At 53.9% G+C, this 24,918-nt stretch overlaps 1 protein-coding gene and 1 pseudogene across 5 annotated transcripts in view, besides 6 other annotated features; one reads left to right on the top strand and one right to left on the bottom strand.

Moving 5' to 3' along the window:
- LOC100129682 (ribosomal protein L17 pseudogene) lies at nt 1,519-2,355 on the bottom strand (annotated as a pseudogene).
- Nucleotides 5,354-6,145: an enhancer, noted in NCBI's record as "H3K4me1 hESC enhancer chr19:8407589-8408380 (GRCh37/hg19 assembly coordinates)". NCBI's record gives its function as "activates a minimal SCP1, AML or CMV promoter by ChIP-STARR-seq in primed H9 embryonic stem cells {active_cell/tissue: H9 hESC(primed)}" and the evidence as "EXISTENCE:reporter gene assay evidence [ECO:0000049][PMID:30033119]".
- KANK3 (KN motif and ankyrin repeat domains 3) overlaps nt 5,588-24,918 on the top strand; it is a 20,679-nt gene continuing 1,348 nt past the window's right edge. The window contains exons 1-10 of one of the 5 annotated variants that reach the window (NM_198471.3): nt 5,588-5,625; nt 10,994-11,055; nt 13,058-14,350; nt 14,431-14,530; nt 14,734-14,940; nt 15,042-15,126; nt 15,620-15,836; nt 23,754-23,899; nt 24,020-24,220; nt 24,303-24,401. In NM_198471.3, coding sequence (NP_940873.2) covers nt 11,022-11,055; nt 13,058-14,350; nt 14,431-14,530; nt 14,734-14,940; nt 15,042-15,126; nt 15,620-15,836; nt 23,754-23,899; nt 24,020-24,220; nt 24,303-24,401 — 2,382 coding nt within the window. In that variant the 5' untranslated portion in view covers nt 5,588-5,625; nt 10,994-11,021. Of the gene's footprint in view, nt 5,800-9,508; nt 9,923-10,814; nt 11,056-13,057; nt 14,351-14,430; nt 14,531-14,733; nt 14,941-15,041; nt 15,127-15,619; nt 15,837-21,958; nt 22,024-23,753; nt 23,900-24,019; nt 24,221-24,302; nt 24,402-24,918 lie in introns of those variants that run through there. The other 4 variants (XM_006722718.5, XM_011527884.2, XR_007066726.1 and 1 more) reach the window with 4 other exon arrangements.
- Nucleotides 8,080-8,580: an enhancer, noted in NCBI's record as "H3K4me1 hESC enhancer chr19:8405154-8405654 (GRCh37/hg19 assembly coordinates)". NCBI's record gives its function as "activates a minimal SCP1, AML or CMV promoter by ChIP-STARR-seq in naive H9 embryonic stem cells {active_cell/tissue: H9 hESC(naive)}" and the evidence as "EXISTENCE:reporter gene assay evidence [ECO:0000049][PMID:30033119]".
- Nucleotides 12,953-13,212: a silencer, noted in NCBI's record as "silent region_10019". NCBI's record gives its function as "represses an Ori minimal core promoter by ATAC-STARR-seq in GM12878 lymphoblastoid cells {active_cell/tissue: GM12878}" and the evidence as "EXISTENCE:reporter gene assay evidence [ECO:0000049][PMID:35858748]".
- Nucleotides 13,313-13,362: a silencer, noted in NCBI's record as "silent region_10018". NCBI's record gives its function as "represses an Ori minimal core promoter by ATAC-STARR-seq in GM12878 lymphoblastoid cells {active_cell/tissue: GM12878}" and the evidence as "EXISTENCE:reporter gene assay evidence [ECO:0000049][PMID:35858748]".
- Nucleotides 13,393-13,582: a silencer, noted in NCBI's record as "silent region_10017". NCBI's record gives its function as "represses an Ori minimal core promoter by ATAC-STARR-seq in GM12878 lymphoblastoid cells {active_cell/tissue: GM12878}" and the evidence as "EXISTENCE:reporter gene assay evidence [ECO:0000049][PMID:35858748]".
- Nucleotides 13,743-13,842: a silencer, noted in NCBI's record as "silent region_10016". NCBI's record gives its function as "represses an Ori minimal core promoter by ATAC-STARR-seq in GM12878 lymphoblastoid cells {active_cell/tissue: GM12878}" and the evidence as "EXISTENCE:reporter gene assay evidence [ECO:0000049][PMID:35858748]".

Genomic DNA, 24,918 nt, shown 5'->3' with positions numbered 1-24,918 from the left:
GGCAGGGGAATCGGTTGAACCTGGGAGATGGAGGTTGCAGTGAGCCAAGATCACGCCACTGCACTCTAACCTGGTAACAGAGCAAGACTCCGTCTCAAAAAAAAAAAAAAAAAAACGGGCAGGGGGAGCTTAAAAGACATATCATTTTCTTTTTGAATGGGCAAGACTAAACTCCAGTGTCTACAGATTCACATTTGGATAATAAAACTATACATGTGCAGTGGCGCTCACCTGTCTCCCAGCTACTCAGGAGGCTAAGGATCATTTGAGCCCAGGAGTTCCAGGCTGCAGTGAGCATTGATTGCACCACTGCACTCCAGCCTGAACAATACAGTGAGACTCTGTCTCGAAATAAATAAATAAGCAAACAAACAGAAACCTACACAGGGCCGGGCGTGTTGGCTCATGCCTGTAATCCCAGCACTTTGGGAGGCCGAGGCAGGTGGATCACCTGAAGCCAGGAGCTCAAGACCAGCATGGTCAACATGGTGAAACCCCATCTCTACTAAAAATACAAAAAATCTGGTCATGGTAGCGGGCACCTGTAATCTCAACTACTCAGGAGGCTGAGGCAGGAGAATCATTTGAACCCAGGAGACTGCAGTGAGCTGAGATCATGCCACTGCACTCCAGCCTGGGCAACAGAGCGAGATTCTGTCTCAAAAATAAATAAATAAATAAACAAACAAATAAATAAAAGTCACAAAACAGTGGTTACTTAGGGAGTGAGGGGCAGCTGTGACTAGGACATAGTCCACGGAGGCGCTTCTGGGGTAGCTGGCAAGTGCAGTTGGTTGGCCCGGGTGGAGGCGACGATGACCTTCATCTCAGCACTGGGTTTCTGAAACTTAGCACTCTTGACATTCAGGCCACATAATTCTTGGTCCTTGGGGATGGCCTGTGCATTGCAGGGTGGTTAGCTACATTCCTGGCCTCCGCCCTCTAGAGGCCAAAAACACCCGCCTCCTCATTACCCAAAAGTGCTCCTGGATATTGTCAAACATTCTCCCATGGGGCAAAATCACTCCTGGTTGAGAACTACCCCCTGGAGGAACTCCTTAAACTATACATTTGTGGGGTTTTTTGTTGTTGTTGTTGGTTTTGTTTTGTTTTTTGTTTTTGTTTTTTACTTTTAATTGCATTTATTTTAATGCTGAATTTACTCCCATGCCATAAGTTTTTGTTTCTTCAGTTTCTTCTGGGATATCTTTTTCTTTCTTTTTTTTTTTTCCGAGATGGAGTTTCACTCTTGTTGCTCAGGCTGGAGTGCGATGGTGCGATCTCGGCTCACCGCAACCTCTGCCACCCGGGTTCAAATGATTCTCCTGCCTCAGCCTCCTCCTGAGTAGCTGGGATTACATGCATGCGCCACCACGCTCGGCTAATTTTATATTTTAAGTAGAAATGGGGTTTCTCCATGTTGGTCAGGCTGGTCTCGACCTCCCGACCTCAGGTGATCCACCCGCCTCGGCCTCCCAAAATGCTGGGATTACAGGCGTGAGCCACTGCGCCCGGCCTTGGGATATCTTTTTCTTTTGGGCAACCTCCTCCTCTGGCTTAGGAAAAATCTGTTCCTTTTCAGTAAGAATCATCTCAGTGTGGCAGGGAGAACTCATTCATGGGTTAATCCGACCGGAGTTCCGTAGGTCTGGCGACGCATCTTAGGTACTTTGTTCACTTGGATATGCTCAATGACCAGAGAATCTACATATAACCCTTAAGTTCAGCATTACTCTCTGCATTTTTTTTTTTTTTGAGACGGAGTCTCGCTCTACTGCCCAGGATGGAGTGCAGTGGCACAATCTCGGCTTTGCAACCTCCGCCTCCCGGGTTCAAGCAATTCTCCTGCCTCAGCCTCCCTGGTAGCTGGGACTACAGGCACGTGCCACCACACCCAGCTAATTTTTGTATTTTTAGTAGAGATGGGGTTTCACCGTGTTGGCCAGGCTGGTCTCGAACTCCTGACCTCAGGTGATCCGCCCACCTCAGCCTCCCAAAGTGCTGGGATTACACGTGTGAGCCACCATGCCCGGCCACTCTCTGCATTTTTAAGCATGTACAGCAAAAATTCAGCACTTTTTCTGGGCCACTGACTTTGTGTCCAGCCCCACTGCTTGGCCTGGGCACACCTGCCAACTCCACCATTGTAATGTTGGAATGGTACACACAGTTTCTGTAAAGTGACATCTTTCAGATACTTCGTGGATTTTCATATATACATACCCTTGATGGCCTGGGCAGTTTCATGAGTGTTCTCCAAGTGAACATGAAGATTTGAACCTCTTGATTTGCATGATTTTGTGGGGTTCTCTGGGTCAAGTAAATAGCGAACCATTTTCCCAGATTACCTCAGGCCACTTAGGGAAAGAGTATACATTTGTTTTATGTGGTTTCTTGAATCTGCTGTGTGTGTGCATCTATGGACGCTTTATTTTACAACTATATATATATATATATATATATATATATATATATATATATTTTTTTTTTTTTTTTTTTTTTTTTGAGACAGAGTTTCACTCTCGTTGCCCAGGCTGGAATGCAATGGCTCACTCTCGGCTCACTGCAACCTCTGCCTCCCAGGTTCAAGTGATTCTCCTGCCTCAGCCTCCCAAGTAGCTGTGATTACAGGCATGCACCACTACACTGGGATAATTTTGTGTTTTTAGTAGAGACGGAGTTTCTCCATGTTGGTCAGGCTGGTCTCGAACTCCCGATATCAGGTGATCTGCCTGCCCTGGCCTCCCAAAGTGCTGGGATTACAGGCGTGAGCCACCGCACCCGGCCACAATAAAAATATTTTAGGGCTGGGTGCGGTGGCTCACGCCTGTAATCCCAGCACTTTGGGAGGCTGAGGCAGGCAGATCACGAGGTCAGGAGATCAAGACCATCCTGGCTAACACGGTGAAACCCCGTCTCTACTAAAAATACAAAAACAGCCAGGTGTGGTGGTGGGTGCCTATAGTCCCAGCTATTCGGGAGGCTGAGACAGGAGAATGGCATGAACCCGGGAGGCGGATCTTGCAGTGAGTGGAGATCACACCACTGTACTCCAGCCTGGGTGACAGAGCAAGACTCCGTCTCAAAAAAAAAAAAAAATTATATATATATATATATATATATATATATATATATACACACACACACACACACATATATTTTAAACATTCCAATGGAGGCCAAGTGCAGCGGCTCATGCCTGTTATGCCACTATTTAGGGAGGCTGAGGCAGGAGAATCACTTGAACCCAGGAATTTGCGACCAGCCTGGGCAACATAGAGAGACCCTGTCCTTACAAAAATAAGAAACCTGCTGGACGTGGTAGCACATGCCTGTAGTCCCAGCTACTCGGGAGGTTGAGGTGGGAGGATTGCTTGAGTCTGGGAGTTCAAGGCTGCAGTGAGCCATAGGTCTTGCCACAGAACTCCAGCATCGGCAACAGAGTAAACTTTGTCTCAAAGGAACAAAGAAGAAAATTCCAATGGAGTTTCTGTGGGGAAACGCGACAGAATTCCACAGTTTTAACTGAAAGAATCAACCAATTAAAATAGCCCAGGAATTTTGTTTTTTTTTAAAAAGTATCAGATGTTAAAATACATTTTAAAATATTACTATATTCTGGCCAGGTGCTGTGGCTTATGCCTGTGATCCCAGCACTTTGTGAGGCCAAGGCAGGTGGATTGCTTGAGCCAAGGAGTTGAAGACCAGCCTGGGCAAAGTAGTAAAAGCCCGTCTCTACTAAAAATAAAAAAAATTAGCTAGGCGTAGCACACACTTGTAATCCCAGCTACTTGGGAGGCTGAGGCAGGAGGATCTCTTTAACCTGGGAGGCGGAGTTTGTAGTGAGCTGAGATATTGTGCCACAGCACTCTACCCTGGGCAACAGAATGAGACCCTGACTCAAAAAAGAAAAAGAAAACATTATTTCAGCAAACATTTATTAAGCATCTACTGTGTACTAGGGTCGCTGGATAAAGCAGTTATCAAAACCAGTTTCCTGTTCCCATGGTGCTGACACTTAATTTAGAGACAGAGTCTCACTCTGTTGCCCAGGCTGGTCTTGAGCTGCTGGGCTCAAAAGATCCTCCCACCTCAGCCTCAGGAGGTGCTAGGATTACAGGCATGAGCCACCCCACCTGGCCTTGGTGCCGACACTTTAGTGAGATGGCAAGCAGGTAAACCAATAAATAACCAGCCAGGCATGGTGGCTCACGCCTGTAATCCCAGCACTTTGGGAGGCTGAGGTGGGCGGATCACCTGAGGTCAGGAGTTCGAGACCAGCCTGGGCAACATGGTGAAACCCTGTCTCTACTAAAAATACAAAAATTAGCTGGGCGTGGTGGTGTGCGCCTGTAATCCCAGCTACTTAGAAGGCTGAGGCAGGAGAATCGCTTGAACCCCAGGAGGCAGAGGTTGCAGTGAGCCAAGATCGCACCACTGCACTCCAGCCTGGGACAGAGCGAGACTCTGTCTAAAAAAAAATTAAATTAAATTAAAAAATAAACCAAATAAATAACTGAGTGTTTCGTTTTTGTCTTTTTGTTTTGTTGTTTTCTTTTGTTTTGAGAACTAGGTCTTGCTATGTTGCCCAGGCTGGTCTCAACTCCTGGCTCAAGCTATCCTCCCATCTATGCCTCCCTAAATACTGGATTTACAGGCGTGAGTCACTGCGCCTGCCAATAACAGAGTCTGCTTTTTTTTTTTTTTCCAGATAGTAAAAGTAGCTATTAGGTTAATACAATAGAGTGATGAGAAAAATACTAACTGGGGAGGGGCTATGTCAGGAATTTAGGGGGCAGCAACACAAAAGCTGAACCTCAGAAAGTAGGGAAGGCCGGGCGCGGTGGCTCACGCCTGTAATCCCAACACTTTGGGAGGCTGAGGCGGGCGGATCACTTGAGGTCAGGAGTTCCAGACCAGCCCGGCCAACATGGTGAAACCCCATCTCTACTAAAAATACAAATATTAGCTGGACGTGGTGGTGTGTGTCTGTAATCCCAGCTACTCGGGAGGCTGAGGCAGGAGAATTGCTTGAACCCAGGAGGCGGAGGTTGCAGTGAGTGTCACTGCACTCCAGCCTGGGACTCCGTCTCAAAAAACAAAAACAAAACAAAACAAAAAACAGTAGGGGAGCCTCAAAAAGTACCTACGTGTACAGGTGCAAGGGAAAGCATTTCAGGTAGGTGGAACAGCATGTGCAGAGGCCCTGCGGTGGGGAAGATCCGGGACCTGATACTTCACCCAGGCACTGCGAAATAAGTGCCAGTTATAGAAATCCCACCGGGTTACTCTTCTACTCATAGTTCTCCCATGGCTCCCTCGTGCCTGTGGATCAAATCCAAGCTCCTTGGCCCGGCGCTGGGCAGAGACTTGACCTCTGCTGGTGCAGAAATGCCGCCAGCCAGCGCTCGGCGACCGTCACTCCAGGGCCCGCCCTCAGTCACCACCCCTACATTCCAGGCCCCGCCTGCCTGTCCCACCCCACCGTCCCACTGGGCGGCTTGGAGAGCCTCGGGTGCTGGTTGGCTGGCGTGGCCGTCAGTTAGGGCGAAGGCCTTGATAATCAGTCCCCGGACTTCGAGGGGGCGGGCTCGGGTGCGGGCGCGGCTGGGGCTGCGGCTTCAGGTAAATTGCCAGCTTGCGGGGACACGGATGGGGGACCCCTGGGTGGGTGGATTCGGGGACGCACCGGGACCCGGCGCTGCGCTGCGTTTCCAGCCCCACTGAGGGCTCTGCCCGCTGCGACGGGGCGGGCGTCGTGTCCTCTGGCCGGGACCCCTCCCACATTGGAAGTCCCAGGTGGGTAGCGAGCAGAGTGGGGGGCTCTGGAGGCGTGGGCTTGCCCCCCTCTCGCCCTTCGGGAGCTCACTGCGGGGCTCGTTCGCTCCCTAATGCCACAACCGGCCCTGGGACCCTTTCCCGGGACGGCCTGGGGACCCCAGCCAGCCCCTCGCGCTGGGCTGGGTGTGGGAGCGTGTCACGGAAATGGTGTTTTGGGGAGGGACGCACGGCCCCCGGACCCGCAGACAATGGGTAGCGGATGGAACCGCCCGGCGGCGCTTCCTGTAGGAAACTGCTCTGTCTCTGTGCGGCTAGGACGACCTGGGGGTGGACGGGTGATGATGACTTTAACACCCACCTTCCTGCCGCCACCGGTCCCCCACCCACCCACCTCAAGAGTCTGAGAGTCCCAGCAGACATCAGGGGCTGCCAGTACTCAGGGCCTCCTGGAAGGCGCCCTCTCCCCAGGACTGGGATCCTCACTGGCCTGCCGTGGCCCCCACCACTCCGGTTTGGTGATCACAGCTCTGCGTCCCAAAATAGTCCCTGGGGCGGGAGAGGGGGCGTGTGGCGTCGGCTCTGACGGCCTAATGAGGGGGTCTCAGGCACAGAATCCGGATCTAGCTGTGACAGTCAGGGCAGGGAGCGGAGGAGAGGGAAGGCAGCTAAACGCCCCACTTAGTGAGGCCCCAGCCCCTGAAGCCGCAGAGGTGGTGGGCACCTCCGCCCCCAATCAGAGTCTGACACAGGTGTAGGCTGGGAGGGACAAGCCCCCTGAGGCTCCTTGGTGGTTCATGCCTGTTATCCCAGCACTTTGGGAGGTCAAGTAGGGCTGATCTCTTGAGGTCAGGAGTTTGAGACCAGACTGACCAACATGATGAAACCCGTCTCTACTAAAAATTCAAAAATTAGCCAGCTGTGGTGGCAAGTGCCTGTAATCCCAGCTACTCAGGATGCTGAGGCAGGAGAGTCGCTTGAACCCTGGGCTCAGAGGTTGCAGTGAGCCGAGATCCTGCCACTGCACTCCAGCCTGGGTGACAGAGACTCCGTCTCAAAAATAAAAATAAAAGAAAGCATTCAAGTGTAGTGGCCAAAGCAAGGACTCTGGAAGACCTGCCTGGGTTTAAAACCTGCCTCTGCCTGTTTATGACAGGACCCAGGCAGGACACTAAACTGTTCTGTGTCTCAGTTTCTCCATCTGTACAATAGGGGAAGGGACAATGATCATAGGAAATCCAACCTCAGTGGATTTAGCTAGGATTTTAAAAAATAAGTCAAGGTCAGGTGCAGTAGCTCATGCTTGTAATCCCAGCACTCTGGGAGGCTGAACTGGGAAGATTGCTTGAGCCCAGGAGTTGGAGGCCAGCCTGGGCAATATAGCAAGACACCTGTATCTACAAAAAATAAAATTAGGCCGGGCACGGCTCACGCCTGGTTTGAGACCAGCCTGGCCAACATGGTGAAACTCCGTCTCTACTAAAAATACAAAAATTAGCCAGGCATGGTGGTGCACACCTGTAATCCCAGCTGCTTGGGAGGCTGAGGCAGGAGAATCACTTGAACCCGGGAGGCGGAGATTGCAGTGAGCTGAGATTGTGCCACTGCACTCCAGCCTGGGCGACAGAGCATGACTCCATCTAAAACAAAAAACCAAAAAATTTAAAATATTAGCCTGAATTAGCCAGGTGTAGAGGTCCATTCCTGTAGTCTCAGCTATTTGTGAGGCTGAGGCGGATCACTTGAGCTCAGGGGTTCAAGGCCACAGTGAGCTATGATCGAGCCACTGACTCCAGCCTGGGTGACAGAGTGAGCGAGACATTGCCTCTAAAAAAAAAAAAAAAAAAAGTAAATATCCATAAATTCCTTAGACTAGAGGCTGGCCCATAGTAAATATCAAAAGCGTTGTTATTATTTGACATTCTGGAGGGATCCATTCCTTTCTTAGCCCAGCCTCTGGATCCAACTGCTTCAGCTAGTTTAGGTCTTAGGAATGGCCCACAGCTGTCTTCTGAGATCCCAGGGCCTGGGATTTGGGTGTGACCAGGTCACCGGAGGAGGACGCTGACCCCATTGCGTCATACGGCCAGCTGTGTGAGAAGTAGACCCAGACCCCCCAACCCTTGATCTGGACTTTTTCCACAACCCAGTTCTTCCCTGGCAATTTCCTGAAAACAAGTGATGAACGGCATTGGCTGTCCTCTGCGATGACCCGCTGGCCTGTTGATCCACCCCTTGCAGCTGGTGTGAAGGGACGGGAAACAGCTGCTTGGGGACTGGAAGAGGCCCCCTGCCTGGCCTTGGAGTGGGAAGGGAGAGGTCAGGGACCTCGGCCAGACAGAAGTGGGAAATGGAGTTACGGTTTCCCCAGCGGTGGAGTAGGGTAATGAGTCAGGAGGGCTGGTGGGTGCTCAGTGCTTCATAGCATCAGGCACACAGGTGGTCCCAGGGATTCGAGAAGCCAGAAGGGGTGGCTGGGAGTGTTGCCATGTGGTTAGCACAGACGGGCCGTGGCCCAGGGAGAGGATGAAGTGGGTTTGGCAGATGCCTGTCAGTGGAGGACTGGACAGGTAAAGGGCAGTCAGAAGCTGTGGCAGGGACCTGCTGACAAGGGTTCCGCAGATGGGCAGAGCCCAATCTGAGGGTGCTTCCCACAGGCAACTGATTTAATTGTTCTGTGCCTCAGTTTCTCCATCTGTAAAATATGAATAATAATACTACTTTGCAGTATGCAAAGTGTTGTATGGGGGCTGTGTGTGTGTGTGTGTGTGTGTGTGTGTATATATATATATATATGGTTTTTTTTTTTTGAGACGGAGTCTGGCTCTGTCCCCCAGGCTGGAGTGCAGTGGCATGATCTCAGCTCACTGCAACCTCTGCCTCCCAGGTTCAAGCGATTCTCCTGCCTCAGCCTCCTGAGTAGCTGGGACTACAGGCATGCACCATTGTGTCCAGCTATGGCGATGACATTTAATCAGGAAGGGCACACCGTAGGCACTTTCCCCTCCCTGAAGGTTTTCCATGTGGGCTTTCCAAAGCCCATCTTTCCCACTCCATGTTCCTGTGCTTTTCTTTTCTTTTCTTTTCTTTTTTTTTTTTTTTTTTTTTGAGACAAGGTCTTGCTCTGTCAACCAGGCTGGAATGCAGTGGCATGATCATAACTCACTGCAGCCTGCATCTCCTGGACTCAAGAGATACTCCTGCCTCAGCTTCTTGAGTAGCTGGGACTACAGGTGCATGCCAACACATCCAGCTAATTTTTGTGTTTTTTGTAGAGATGGGGTTTCGCTATTTTATTTATTTATTTAGAGACAGAGCTTCGCTCTTGTTGCCCAGGCTGGAGAGCAATGGCTTGTGAGCCACTGTGCTTGGTGGTTTCACTATTTAAAAACAAACAAACAAAAGAGATAGTGGCCAGGCACCTTGGCTCATGCCTGTAATCCCAGCACTTTGGGATGCCGAGGTGGGTGGATCACCTGAGGTCAGGAGTTCGAGACCAGCCTGGCCAACATGATGAAACCCTATCTCTACTAAAAATACAAAAAATTAGCCAGGTATAGTAGCAGTGGCTGTAATCCCAGCTACTCAGGAGGCTGAGGCAGGAGAATCACTTGAACCCAGGAGGCAGAGGTTGCAGTGAGCCAAGATTGTGCCACTGCACTCTAGCCTGGGCAACAAGAGGGAAATTCTGTCTCAAAAAAAAAAAAAAACAAAAAGAGATAGGGTCTCGCTATGTTGCGCAGGTGGGTCTTGACTCCTAGGCTCAAGCGATCCTTCTGCTTTGGCTTCCCAGAGTGCTGAGATTTCACCCTGTGCTTTTTGAACCAAAGTTCTGGATTCAATATTTGTCCTTGTTAAATATCACATTATTATATGTGGCCCAATCTTCCTCACTTTCTTACAGCCTCCATCATGTCATCCAAACAGTCACTTTCCCAGGCAGCCCCATGAATAGTCACAGCTCTGACAACCCAGGTGTTTTGTGTTTGCATTACAAACTCTTACAAGCCAAGGATCAAGCCTGTGACACTCCGCTAGCGACATTCCAGGGAGACAAGTATCCGTTGATTTGTTGATTTGGATCTTTGGTGCATCCAGCCCGCAATTCCCCATCATTCCTGCAAGAGTTTCACAACTGACCTTGGTAAAAATTTGGATGCACAATTACATCCTTTTTTTTTTTTTTTTTTTTTTTTTTGAGACGGAATCTCGCTCTGTTGCCAGGCTGAAGTGCAGTGGCGCCACCTCAGCTCACTGCAAGCTCCGCCTCCCGGGTTCACGCCATTCTCCTGCCTCAGCCTCCCGAGTAGCTGGGACTACAGGCGCCTGCCACCACGCCCGGCTACTTTTTTATATTTTTAGTAGAGATGGGGTTTCACCGTGTTAACCAGGATGGTCTCGATCTCCTGACCTCATGATCCGCCCTCCTCGGCCTCCCAAAGTGCTGGGATTACAGGCGTGAGCCACCGCGCCCAGCCTAGATGAGTTTTTAATGATCCTGTGAAGGGCTTCCAACTCTGGTCTTTCTTTCCTAAAGGCTCATAGTCCACTACATAGAGCGTCCATTTCTGATTTTCCCCAGAGATTATCAGAAAACCCAGCAGGTCTGGAATGCCTCCCCAACTCCCAGCTACCCTTGTTTTCTTGGTCACCTTCTTCTTTTTGCTTGATGTCTTTCCTGCTTCCTCCTGCCCAGCAGGCTGACATCTGACACCTGGGGATCATTCATTCCATCCAAAGTTTCAAGGTCGGCTAGGCACGGTGGCTCATGCCTATAATCCCAGTACTTTGGGAGGTCGAGGCAGGCGGATAACTTGAGGTCAGGAGTTCGAGACCAGCCTGGCCAACATGGTGAAACCTCATCTCTACCAAAAATACAAAAATTAGCCAGGCGTGGTGGTGGGCACCTGTAATCCCAGCCACTTGGGAGGCTGAGGCAGGAGATTCACTTGAACCCGGGAGGGGGAGGCTGCAATGAGCCGAGATTGTGGCATTGCACTCCAGCCTGGGTGACAGAGCGAGACTCTGTCCCAAAAAAAAAAAAAAAAAAAAAGTTTCAAGGTTTCTTTAGGGAAGAGGAAGGAGAGGCCATGTGTGGAGGGAGGTGGCTGGGTGGAGGAGAGCTCTTGGGTCCTGTTTGCTTAGACTCAAAGGCAGGCCCCAGAGGCTCCAGCCAGAGGGACAGCGCCCAGCCCCACCTTCACCCCTTTTGCAGGGTGCCTCTGACAGCTGCTGCAGGAAACATGGCCAAGTTTGCCCTGAATCAGAACCTGCCCGGTGAGTGTGCAAAAAGAGAGATGTGTGTGTGTGTGCGCATGCACAGAGAAACGCTTGATGCCCTTGTGTGTGGACGCAGCCTACAGCCCTAGAGTGCAGTCCTCTCCAATGTCATGAGCCTGCTTTAAACCACCTATGGCATCAATCATGGCCGGGTGCGGTGGCTCATGCCTGTAATCCCAGCACTTTGGGAGGCCACGGTGGGCGGATCACTTGAGATCAGGAGTTTGAGACCAGCCTGGGCAACATGGTGAAACCCTGTCTCTACTAAAAATACAAAAATTAGCCAGGCACGGCTCGGTGTGGTGACTCATGCCTGTAATCCCAGCACTTTGGGAGGCCGAGGCGGGCAGATCACAAGGTCAGGAGGTCAAGACCATCCTGGCTAACACGGTGAAATCCCATCTCTACTAAAAATACAAAAAATTAGCCGGGCATGGTGGTGCCCCTGTAGTCCCAGCTACTCGGGAGGCTGAGGCAGGAGAATGGCTTGAACCCGGGAGGCGGAGCTTGCAGTGAGCAGAGATTGTGCCACTGCACTCCAGCCTGGGCGACAGAGCGAGACTGCGTCTCAAAAAAAAAAAAAAAAAAAAAATTAGCCAGGCATGGTGGCGCGTGCCTGTAGTCCCAGCTACTCAGGAGGCTGAGGCAGGAGAATTGCTGGAACCTGGGAGGCAGAGGCTGCAATGAGCCAAGATCGCACTACAGCACTCCAGTCTGGGCAACAGAGCAAGACTCCGTCTCAAAAAAAAGAAAAAAACAAAACAAAAAACACCCCACCTATGGCACTAATCGCAAGTGGACTATACCCCCTGCCACCCCAGGTAGCCCTCAAACCAGGGAAGTGTGGCCCTTGTGCGTCCATTCCTCTTCCCCCTGCCTTCTTTACTCTGCTCGGGACACCCTGGTCTCCATCTCGCTGTGACTCCAGCTGACCCTCCTCCCTCCTACCCCAGGGTATTTCCATGGGCTGTTTTCTTCTAGAAACCTTTTCCCAGCTGCTTCCTCCTCATCGTGCAGGGCTTCCCCTCGCCAACCTTTTTTTTTTTTTTTTTGAGACAGGGTCTCACTCTGTCACCCAGTCTGGAGTGCAGTGGTGCAATCTCGGCTCACTGCAACCTCTGCCTCCCAGGCTCAAGTGATCCTCCCACCTCAGCCTCCTGAGTAGCTCACCATTATGCACAGCTATGTATATATATGTATATGTGTATATATATATTTTTGGAGATGGGGTCTCACTTTGTTGCCCAGGTTTGTCTCGAACTCCTAAGCTCTAGCGATCCACCCGCCTCGGCCTCCCAAAGTGTTGAGATAGAGGCGTGAGCCACTGCGCCCGGCCAGGGCTACTTTTTTTTTTTTTTGAGAGGTTCTCTTCTGTCGCCCAGGCTGGAGTGCATTGGTGCGATCTCGGCTCACCTCAAACTCCGCCTACCAGGATCAAGTGATTCTCCTGCCTCAGCTTCCGGAGTAGCTGGGATTACAGGCGCGCGCCACTACCGCCCAGCTAATTTTCGTATTTTTAGCAGATACTGGGTTTCACCATGTTGGCCAGGCTGGTCTGGAACTCCTGACCTCAGGTGATCCGCCTGTGCCGGCCTCCCAAAATGCTGCGACTACAGGCGCGAACCACACGCCGGGCCAGGGCTCCACTCCACAGGAAAGTCCCCTCACAGGAAAGCTTCCCTGGCAACCAAACGCTAAATCGGGCCTCCTCCGTTTATTCCCTGTTATTATTACCATTGCCGTAGGCATCGTTTGGAAGGATGCTTATCTGCTTTCTACAGGAGGACAGGGATGTTTGTCTTGCTCACTGCTGTGTCCCCCGGGCCTAGAAACTTGCTTAGCACAGAGTAGGTGCTCATTAAACAAGCGATTGAGTTAATACTTGGGTACAGATAGGTGTGAAGCGTGGGCATGGGTGGGGGACACGCTCGGTTTGTTTAGTATCTCCCGGGTTTCCCCGTTCTGATGCGCCCTCCCCGTGCCCCCGTCGTGCCTCCAGACCTGGGCGGCCCCCGCCTGTGCCCGGTCCCCGCCGCCGGGGGCGCACGCAGCCCGAGCTCGCCCTACTCGGTGGAGACGCCCTACGGCTTCCACCTGGACCTGGACTTCCTCAAGTACATAGAGGAGCTGGAGCGTGGCCCCGCTGCCCGCCGCGCCCCGGGACCCCCGACCTCGCGCCGTCCCCGCGCGCCCCGGCCCGGCCTCGCGGGCGCACGTAGCCCAGGCGCCTGGACATCCAGCGAGTCCCTGGCCAGTGACGACGGTGGAGCACCGGGCATACTCTCCCAGGGCGCGCCCTCGGGGCTCCTGATGCAGCCGCTGTCGCCGCGCGCGCCCGTGCGCAACCCGCGCGTCGAGCACACGCTCCGGGAGACCAGCCGGCGGCTGGAGCTGGCGCAGACACACGAGCGCGCGCCCAGCCCCGGCCGCGGGGTCCCGCGCAGCCCACGCGGGTCCGGCCGCAGCAGCCCCGCCCCTAACCTTGCCCCTGCTTCGCCCGGCCCTGCCCAACTGCAGCTGGTGCGCGAGCAGATGGCCGCGGCGCTGCGGCGCCTGCGCGAGCTCGAGGACCAGGCGCGAACGCTGCCCGAGCTGCAGGAGCAGGTGCGCGCGCTGCGCGCCGAGAAGGCGCGGCTGCTGGCCGGGCGCGCGCAGCCCGAGCCGGACGGGGAGGCTGAGACGCGCCCGGACAAGCTCGCCCAGCTGCGGCGGCTCACCGAGCGCCTGGCCACCTCCGAGCGCGGCGGCCGTGCCAGGGCCAGCCCCCGGGCTGACAGCCCAGACGGCCTGGCTGCAGGGCGCAGCGAGGGCGCGCTCCAGGTCCTCGACGGGGAGGTCGGGAGTCTCGATGGGACGCCCCAGACCCGGGAGGTGGCCGCCGAGGCCGTGCCCGAGACCCGAGAAGCGGGTGCCCAGGCCGTGCCGGAGACCCGGGAGGCCGGCGTGGAGGCTGCCCCCGAGACCGTGGAGGCGGACGCGTGGGTGACCGAGGCGCTGCTGGGGCTGCCTGCGGCCGCCGAGCGCGAGCTAGAGCTGCTGCGCGCCAGTCTGGAGCACCAGCGCGGGGTGAGTGAGCTTCTGCGGGGCCGGTTGCGGGAGCTGGAGGAAGCCCGCGAGGCTGCGGAGGAGGCAGCGGCGGGGGCCCGGGCCCAGCTACGCGAGGCCACCACCCAGACCCCGTGGAGCTGTGCCGAAAAGGCCGCGCAGACCGAGTCCCCGGCAGAGGCGCCCTCCTTGACTCAGGAGAGCTCGCCCGGATCCATGGACGGAGACAGGGCCGTGGCGCCCGCGGGTGAGTCCCGACCCCGTCGCTGGGCCCTGGCTTACTCGGCGCCGGACTCGAACTCAGTGCCCTCATCTCATCCCCGCCAGGCATCCTCAAATCCATCATGAAGAAGAGAGACGGCACACCTGGTGCCCAACCCAGCTCCGGACCCAAGAGCCTGCAGTTTGTTGGGGTCCTCAACGGAGAGTGAGCGCCTTTCCCCTCCTGTGGCAGCTTCTGCCGGGACATAGACTGGGGTTGGAACCCCAGCTCTGCCCCTCTACTGGCAGCGTGGTCTGGGCAATCCTCAGTTTCCTCATCGTTAAATGGGAACGGCCACACCCACATCGCAGGACTCCAGAACGAGCCCACAGGGGAGGTTTAGCAGACACCTCCCACCCTGCCCCCAGGTACGAGAGCTCCTCCAGCGAGGACGCCAGCGACAGCGATGGCGACAGCGAGAACGGTGGCGCCGAGCCCCCGGGTAGCTCCTCGGGCTCCGGGGATGACAGCGGCGGGGGATCCGACTCGGGCACCCCTGGCCCTCCCAGCGGCGGGGACATCCGGGACCCTGAGCCCGAGGCGGAGGCAGAGCCTCAGCAGGTGGCACAGGGGAGGTGAGCGGCGCTCGCTAGTTGTTTGGAGAGGAGGCGGCTGCCCTCCTCCTGGTCGGCGCTGTCCCCGATCCATCCTGAGTCTCTCCTGGCCTCCTCTGCAGGTGCGAGCTGAGCCCGCGTCTGAGGGAGGCGTGCGTAGCGCTGCAGCGGCAGCTGAGCCGGCCCCGCGGAGTAGCCAGCGACGGCGTGAGTGCCCCGGGAGCGCAGCACCAGGGAGTGGCGTGGGAGCCTCCAAGGACCTCTGACGCCCACTTAGGGGAGCACACCGGGTTCCATCCCTTCCCGCCAGGCACCTCGCCTGACCCCAGGCTCTCCGAAGGGATCTCCTTCCCAGGACAGCGCCGATCTTTCCTTGGTTTCCCCAAAAAGGCCCGGCCCCAGCCCCACTCCCGGACTCCCCAAGGGCAAGCGTTCATTGCCTTTCCCCGTTCCATGTTCTCCCGCAAATTCTTCCCTGGAAGGAAAGGACCCCCTTCCCCCGTGTTTGCCCTCCGATAGGGGTGTGGCCCCAGCCCTCCATCTGGGTTCGCATGGCTCCCCACCTGGACGAGGAGTGACCTTCCTTACTTGCCTGGAAACGCCAAATGGGTCTCTTCCCAGTCCCGCCCCTCCCCAGCTCCCCCACCACGGCGCCGCCGTGGACCATCGCCGATGTTATCTTGGCCCCTGTCCCTTGCAGGGCGCAGTGCGCCTCGTGGCCCAGGAGTGGTTTCGAGTGTCCAGCCAGCGGCGCTCTCAGGCGGAGCCCGTGGCCAGGATGCTGGAAGGGGTGAGGCGCCTGGGACCCGAACTGCTGGCGCACGTGGTGAACCTGGCGGATGGCAACGGGAACACGGCCCTGCACTACAGTGTGTCCCACGGGAACCTGGCCATCGCAAGCCTGCTCCTGGATACGGGTCAGAGCCAAGGGAGGGTGGGTGGGACACCAGGAAATGGGTGGGGGGAGAGGGCAGGGGCTGACCTAGGCTCAAAGACTCTGGAGAGGAAAGCAGAGAATGGCTGTCCAGCACAGGGCACCACTCCTCCTTGAGTTTATTTTATTTTATTTTAATTTTATTATTTTATTTTATTTTATTTTATTTTATTTTATTTTTGAGACGGAGTTTCACACTGTCACCAGGCAGGAGTGCAGTGGCGCGATCTCGGCTCACTGCAACCTCCGCCTCCCAGGTTCAAGCGATTCTCCTGCCTCAGCCTCCCGAGTAGCTGGGACTACAGATGTGCGCCACCATGCCCAGCTAATTTTTGTATTTTTAGTGGAGACGGGGTTTCACCATGTTGGCCAGGATGGTCTTGATCTCCTGACCTCGTGATCTGCCTGCCCCGGCCTCCCAAAGTGCTGGGATTACAGGCCTGAGCCACTGCGCCCAGCCAACCTCCTTGGGTTTTAAACCTCTTCCTGTCTGGGTTCCCAAAGGCCTTCTGCCCTCTGAGCCAGGCATGGTGGCTCATGCCTTTAACCCCAGCACTTTGGGAGGCCGAGGTGGGCAGATCACTTGAGGTCAGGAGTTCGAGACCGGCCTGGCCAACATGGCAAAACCCCATCTCTACTAAAAATACAAAAATTAGCTGGGTGTGGTGGTACATGCCTGTAATTCCAGCTACTCAGGAGGCTGAGGCACGAGAATTGCTTGAACCTGGGAGGCAGAGGTTGCAGTGAGCTGAGATCGTGCTACTGCACTCCAGCCTGGGCGACAGAGTGAGGCTCAGTCTCAGAAACAAAAACAAAACAAAACAAAAAAGCAGAAACTAGCTGGGCGTGGTGGTGGGAACCTGTAATCCCAGCTATTCGGGAGGCTGAGGTGCGAGGATTACTTGAACCCAGGAGGCAGAGGTTGCAGTAAGCCAAGAGTGAGCACCACTGCACTCCAGCCTGGGCCACAATGCAAGACTCCATCTCAAAAAAAAAAAAAAAAAAAAAAAAAAAAAGAGGCCTTTTGGCCCCACCATACCCCTAGTTCTGCCCTGAGGCTCCTCCTACTTTGCAGCTGGAGGGAATACACAGTTCTGGACTTAGGTAAACCTCAGTTTAGGGGCATTATTTAATCTTGCTTGTGAAATGGGGTTGGCAAGGCCTCCCTCCCTGGGTACCTATGATAATACAGGTAGTACGAGATCAGTAAATGGCCAGCATGTGCTCTGTCCCTGAATCTCCAGCTGGAGCACTCACCGAGTTCCTGAGCCCCAGTGTCCAGCCTGGAGGGGAGGTACTCACCAGGCAGGGCTCTGACTCCTCCTGGGATGGGGCACTGTGCCCCACCCACCTCCAGCTGCTTGCCCTGATAAACTGGGCACAAAGGGTCTGGTGGGTGGTAAACAAATCGCTGTCCACCAGGAGCCCCCTCCCTCCAGGTACCCTCCTGCAGGTTCAGAAACCTCTGAGTCAGCCTTTGGGCACCTCTGGTACTAACTGCAGGTTGAGGCGGGTCCCACTGCCTGCCCCCAACCCCCTAAACACGCAGATCCCTCCCATCCCTGCAGGTCTTTATGACCTAGGAAAGGATATAGCTGCTCTGGAAGCTGGGGCATTGTAGGAGACAGGGGACAGTGAATGAATCTAAGTGAATTTTTTGGGCATCTCATGCCTTAAAGGGGGCTGGGGCTGCGGCAAGGAAGTAGGCGTCGTTGGTCACTGCAAGAGGCCCCAGGCTCCTTGGCCCCTTTATCTCCTACATTTGAATCCCCCCCCCACCCCTTTTTTGTTGTTGTTGTTTTGATATGGAGTCTTGCTCTGTCGCCCAGGCTGGAGTGCAGTGGCATGATCTCTCTGCTCACTGCAACCTACGCCTCCCGGGTTCACGCCATTCTCCTGCCTCAGCCTCCCGAGTAGCTGGGACTACAGGCGCCCGCCACCACGCCCGGCTAATTTTTGTACTTTTAGTAAAGACGGGGTTTCAACATGTTGGCCAGGCTCAAACTGCTTACCTCAACTCATCTGCCTGCCTCGGCCTCCCAAAGTGCTGGGATTACAAGCATTAGCCGCTTTGCCCGGCCTTGTTTGTTTTTTCGAACAGATCTTGCTCTGTTGCCCAGGCTGGACTGCAGTGGTGCAATATCAGCTCACTGCAACCTCCACCTCCCGGGTTCAAGTGATTCTTATGTCTCAGCCTCCTGAGTAGCTGGGATTACAGGCGCGTGTACCACACCCAGCTAATTTTTGTATTTTTGTATTTTTTTTTTTGAGATGGAGTTTCGCCCTTTTTGCCCAGGCTACAGTGCAATGGCACAATCTCGGCTCACTGCAACCTCCGCCTCCCAGATTCAAGTGATTCTCCTGCCTCAGCCTCCCGAGTAGCTGGGATTATAGGCATGCACCACCACACCCAGCTAATTTTGTATTTTTAGTACAGACAGGGTTTCTCCATGTTGGTTAGGCTGGTCTCAAACTCCCGACCTCAGGTAATCCGCCTGCCTCAGCCTCCCAAAGTGCTGGGATTACAGGTGTGAGCCACCGTGCCCAGACAATTTTTACATTTTTAGTAGAGATGGGTTTCACCATGTTGGCCAGGCTGGTCTTGAACTCCTGACCTCAAGTGATCCTCCTGCCTAGGCCTCCTAAAGTGCTGGTATTATAGGCGTGAGCCAGTGTGCCCAGCCTCTAATTCCCATTTGGCTCCACCTCTCCAGACCTTCCCCTGGTTCTTACTCATCTCCCCTCTGCCTGTACTTGCTTGCTGTCACATACACTAACGCCCCTGCATTCAGGGGCTGTTTCCTCTTTCATCCCCTGGAATCCAGAGTCTGGAGGTACGTGGGTGTGCACTTTGCTCTTCTTCTCCACTTCCAGACCTTTCACCCTCTTCCTTCTCAAACCCTACCTTGGAGCATCTTGTCACTGACTAGGCCCCTCCTCACTCTGCCTCTCTGGCTTCTACCTCTGACCTCAAGTAGCTCCTCCTTTCTTGAACTTTAGCTCCTGGCCAGTTCTCCCTCTCTCCCTCCAGCCTAATCCTTGCTGCAAAGCAGGTCCACTGTGCACTGGTTACCCCTTCAGCCCATTGCACCTAGGAATGTGCTTTTCCTACCTGCCTGAGTCTGGTAAGGTAGAATACTCATTCACATAACAAGTTACACAAAGCAGGTTCCTTATTTACAGATAGGCAGCAAGGGACAGCAGAAGCCTAAGATTGACAGTGAGCCAATCCCCCAAGGCTCAGGAAGGCTGCCCAAGGTGTATGGAATCTGGTCTGCAGGTGCCCCACTTGCACGGCAGGTGAGGGACCCTGGAAAGCGGCCCACTCTAGGTTTTATACCCTGGGGAACAGGAATTGCTGGGCTAATGCATTAAAGGACAACCTGTTTCTAGATGGGGACAGGAACAGAGCCTAGGCTGTTCCAGTCAGTTCCTCCTTATCTCAAGATTGCATTTCCAGAGCATTCTATAGTTAGTCTTTTTTTTTTTTTTTTTTTTTTTTTTGAGGCCGAGTCTTGCTCTGTTGCCTGGCTGGAGTGCAGTGGTGTGATCTCAGATCTCAGCTCACTGCAACCTCTGCCTCCCGGGTTCGAGTGATTCTCCTGCCTCAGCCTCCCGAGTAGCTGGGATTACTGGCAAGCGCCATCATGCCCGGCTAATTTTTGTATTTTCAGTAGAGACGGGGTTTCACCATGTTGGCCAGGCTGGTCTTTAACTCCTGACCTCAGGTGATCTGCCCGCCTCAGCCTCCCAAAGTATTGGGATTATAGGAGTGAGCAACCGCACCCAGCCGGCACTTGTCAATTTCCTTTTTTTTTTTTTTTTTGAGATGGAGTCTCGCTCTGTCACCCAGGCTGGAGTGCAGTGGCGCCATCTCGGCTCACTGCAAGGTCTGCCTCCCGGGTTCATGCCATTCTCCTTCCTCAGCCTCCCCAGCAGCTGGGACTACAGGTGTCCGCCACCACGCCCGGCTAATTTTTTTTGTATTTTTAGTAGAGATGGGGTTTCACCGTGTTAGCCAGGATGGTCTCGATCTCCTGACCTCGTGATCCGCCCACCTCAGCCTCCCAAAGTGCTGGGACTACAGGCGTGAGCCACCGCGCTCGGCCCACTTGTCAATTTCAACATCCTCCCCCATGATCCCTGCAACCTCCTGGCTGCTCTCCTTCCTTGACCTTGACTCTGCCCCACATCAGCTTTACAGGTATAACATCAGCCCCAGACCTTGATGTCCCTAATAGTTGTGCCCGTTACAGAATCTCACTTCTCAGCTCCCCACTTCCCGACCCTCACCTCCCAGCTTCTCGGCTCACAGGCTCCCATTCCCCAACTCCAGTAATCCTTGGACCTTGCGGGGACAATTACCCACTGCTCCCTCTCCGTTTCACTGCCCCCACCCCTTGTCTCTTTGCCTCTGTCATCCTCCTTCAGCCTGTTGTGGATTCTTCTCCATACCCCTCTCTCACCCGACCCTACCTGCCTGCCTGACAAACCCACAGCAAACCGTCAAGTGTTGAATAAATGCCTGCTCCCACAGAACTTTCAGGAATGTGTAGTTTTGAGTGTGTGTGTGTGTGTGTGTGTGTGTGTGTGTGTGTGTGTGTGTGTGGTGGGGGTGGTGAGTGAAGAGTGGAGAGAGACGATTATCAAGTAAAAACGTGAAATAATTTCAAATGCTAGTAAGGGCCGTAGCAGAAGACAACCAGGGGATGAAGTCAACAAAGGGTGATTCTTTTTAAATTTTTTTGTAGGCATGGGGTTTCACCATGTTGCTCAGGCTGATCTCCAACTCCTGGGCCTAATTGATCCTCCCTCCTCAGTCTCCCAAGTAGCGGGGATTACAGGCGTTCTCCACCACACCCGGCTAATTTTTGTATTTTTAGTAGAGATGAGGTCTCGCTCTGTTGTCCAGGCTGTTCTCGAACTCCAGAGCTCAAGTGATCCTCCTGCCTTGGCCTCCAGTGTTCTGGAATTATAGGCGTAAGCCACTGTGCCTAGCCAGGGTGATTCTTTAGTTAAGCAAGGTCAAGGTAGCTGCAAGAGAAAAGGGAGAGGGAGCAGGAAGATAGGTGGGTCCTTGGCTAGCCTGCAAGGACCCCACTCTGGTTATTTCTGGGTGCTCCTCCCTGACCACCTGACGCCTTACACGGTGTCTTAGTGGAAGGCATGGACACCCACACAGCATGCCACCCAAACAGGGAACGTCCCCCCAACCCCTTTTTACAGACAGCTTTGTTCCAGGCTGGGGTGTAGTGGCGTGATGCAGCCTCAACCTCCCAGGCTCAAGCGATCCTTCCACCTCAGCCTCCTGAGTATTTGGGACCACAGGCATGAACCACCACACTCAGCTAATTTTTTTTTTGGCGGGGAGCAGAGTGTCGCTCTGTCACCAGGCTGGAGTGCAGTGGTGTGATATTGGCTCACTGCAACCTCTGTCTCCCATGTTCAAGTGATTCTCCTGCCTCAGCCTCTCAAGTAGCTGGGACTACAGGCGCACACCACCACGCCTGGCTAATTTTTTGTATTTTTGGTAGAGACGGTGTTTCACCATGTTGGCCAGGATGGTCTTGATCTCTTGACCTTGTGATCTGCCTGCCTTGGCCTCCCAAAGTGCTGGGATTACAGACGTGAGCCACCGTGTCCGGCCAAATTTTTTAAGAGATGGGGGGGTCTTCCTATGTTGCTCAGGCTGGCCTCAGACTCCTGGCCTCAAGTGATCCTCCTGCCTTGGCCTCCCTAAGCATTTGGGTGTACAGGCGTTAGTCACCATGCCTGGCCTCCATTTTTGCTGTCATTTGACTTAACCCTTTACTCCTCAGTCCCTCATCTCAGCTCTCCTTCCTCACTAGGTTATCCATCTCATGACCCCGACCCCGCTCCTTTCCCCAAGCTTCTCATTCATTTCCTTAAACTACCTCAATCCTCAGAGCCTTCAGAATGGCAGGAGACAGGGATTAAAACAGCCACTCCAGGAAATATCATCCAAACAGGCACTGTGAGGAACAGGGACCAGGATGGTAACAGAACTGATCCCAGAGGAAACTGAGCTCACGTTTGTGTTTCATTCAGGATAGGCAGTGTTGACCAGGCTGTTTTGCTTCCTAGGGCTGCCATCAAAGTATCACTGTGAGCTGCTTCAAACAACAGGTGGCCAGACTTCTGAAATCAAGGTGTTGGCAGGTTTTTTTTTTTTTTTCTGAGAGATGGAGTCTAGCTGTGTCACCCAGGCTGGAGTGCAGTGGCGCAATCTCGGCTCACTGCAAGCTCCGTCCCCCGGGTTCATGCCATTCTTCTGCCTCAGCCTCCTGAGTAGCTGGGACTACAGGCACCCACCACCACACCCGACTAATTTTTTTTTTTTTTTTGTATTTTTAGTAGAGACGGGGTTTCACTGAGTTAGCCAGGATGATCTCAATCTCCTGACCTCATGATCCGCCCGCCTCAGCCTCCCAAAGTGCTGGGATTAAAGGCGTGAGCCACTGCACCTGGCTTTTTTTTTTTTTTTTTTTTTTTTTACAACAGGTGGCCAGAAGTCTGAAATCAAGGTGTTGGCAGGTGTTTTTGTTTGTTTGTTTGAGACAGGGTCTCACTGTGTTACCCAGGCTGGAGTGCAGTGGCGTGATCTTGGCTCACTGCAGCTCCCAGGTTCAAGTGATTATCCTGCCTCAGCCTCCTGAGTAGCTGAGATTACAGGTGCCTGCCACCACGCCTGGCTATTTTTTGTGTTTTTAGTAGAGATGGGGTTCACCACATTGGCCAGGCTGGTCTCGAACTCCTGACCTCAAGTGATCAACCACCTCGGCCTCTCAAAGTGCTGGGATTACAGACGTGAGCCAGTGTCCTGGCAACCAAATTCATTTTGAATTGTTGCTCTTGGCCAGGCGCGGTGGCTCACACCTGTAATCCCAGCACTTTGGGAAGCTGAGGCAAGCGAATCATGAGGTCGGAGTTCGAGACCAGCCTGACCAACATGGTGAAACCGTCTCTACTAAAAATACAAAAATTAGCTGGGCGTGGTGGTGCATGCCTGTAATCCCAGCTACTCAAGTGGCCAAGGCAGAAGAATCGCTTAAACCTGGGAGGCAGAGGTTGCAGTGAGCTGAGATCGTGCCACTGCACTCCAGCCTGGGCGACAGAATGAGACTCCATCTCTAAATAAATAAATAGTTGCTCCTGGCTGCTGTGTGGAACCTGGAGTGGATTCAGAGAGAAGGGTGGAGGCTGGCACTGTTCTTTAGGGGAGCAATGATGGTGGCTTGGCGGGTGGTGGCCATGAAAATAAACATATCCTTTTATTATTCAGTCAACAAATGTTTAACTGAGCATCTACTATGTGCCAAGTATTGTTCTAAGTACTGAGGGATACAGAAGCAAACAAAACCAAGTCCCTGCCTGATTTGAAACAGGGACTTGATTTGAAATAGCCACTGGGCCAGTGGCTCATGCCTCTAATTCCAGCACTTTGGGAGGCTACGGTGGGTGGATCACTTGAGGTCAGGAGTTCGAGACTAGCCTGGCCAACATGGTGAAACCCTGTCTCTACTAAATAATACAAAAATTAGCTGGGTGTGATGGCACATGCTGTAGTTCCAGCTACTCCGGAGGTGGAGATTGCAGTGAGCTGAGATCGCACCACTGCACTCCAGCCTGGGTGACAGAGCGAGACTATGTCTCAAAAAAAAAAAAAAAAAAAAAAAAAAGATGAAACAGGAAGGTCCTTCACTGAGCAGATGGTATTTGAGCAACACCTTAGTGAGGGAGGAACCAGGTAGCTATTGTGGGGAGAACGTTGAGACCACCCCATATGCAGGTGCTGTGCCCGAGGCTTGCAGGGAGGTGAGTGGATCAAGTCGGGCCGCGGTGTTGGCATCTCCGTGGACGGCCCCCTTTTCTCTCCCAGGGGCCTGCGAGGTCAACCGCCAGAACCGAGCCGGCTACTCGGCCCTCATGCTGGCTGCACTCACCTCTGTGAGGCAGGAAGAGGAGGACATGGCTGTGGTCCAGAGACTCTTCTGCATGGGTGATGTCAATGCCAAGGCCAGTCAGGTGCGTGGGCGCCCCCACTGTGGCTCTCAGCCAGGAGTCACTTCCACTTTGGGAGTCAACCTGTGACCTCCCTTCCCTGAGCCTACCCCAGCCTGTTCCCTCTTCCTCCCCACTCCCCAGACGGGGCAGACAGCCCTCATGCTGGCCATCAGCCATGGCCGACAGGACATGGTGGCAACCCTACTGGCGTGTGGGGCTGATGTGAATGCGCAGGATGCGGATGGGGCCACAGCGCTGATGTGTGCCAGTGAGTATGGGCGCCTGGACACCGTGCGGCTGCTGCTCACCCAGCCAGGCTGTGACCCTGCCATCCTGGACAATGTAAGACCCCACAATGGGGCTGGCATCTTGGGGGGTGCCCATGGCTTGGCTCAGGGATCTGACTGTCCCTAACGTTCCACAGGAGGGCACCAGTGCCCTGGCCATCGCCCTGGAGGCTGAGCAGGATGAGGTGGCCGCTCTGCTACATGCCCACCTGAGCTCGGGCCAGCCCGACACCCAGGTGAGCACAGCTCTGGAAGAAACAAACTTTCCCAGCTGCAAATTCAGTTTGCAGAGGATAGTAAATATGCCCTGAGCCTCCCTTTCTGCTCCCCAAAGGTGGCACCAGGGGTGCAGAACCAGTGTCTGGATTCTCCTATGTGGCTGCTTTTCTTTTTTGGGAGACAGGGTCTCACTCTGTAACCCGGGTTGGGGTGTAGTGGTGTGATCAGAGCTCACTGCAGCCACAAACTCCTGAGCTCAAGGGATCCTTCTGCCTCAGCATCCTCAAGTGCTGGGATTACAGGTGTGAAACCAGAGCGCCTGGCAGGGGCTGGGATTTGATGTGAAAGCAGCAAAACCCCAGTGAGGTTGACACTACCCCAGGTCATGAGACTGAGTCCTCAAGGGGGGAAGTAACCTAAGGTCACAGAGACCTAGCTAAGACCTTTCATGCATGCCCCTGGGCTCCTGTTACCTACTGCCAGGGAGGCTCTTATCAAAGGAAAAAGGAGCCCTTTGGCATCAGGCAGGGTGGG

Source organism: Homo sapiens, chromosome 19, assembly GCF_000001405.40.
Source record: "Homo sapiens chromosome 19, GRCh38.p14 Primary Assembly".
Classification (NCBI taxonomy): domain Eukaryota; kingdom Metazoa; phylum Chordata; class Mammalia; order Primates; family Hominidae; genus Homo; species Homo sapiens.
This window is presented reverse-complemented; position numbering and strand designations above follow the sequence as displayed.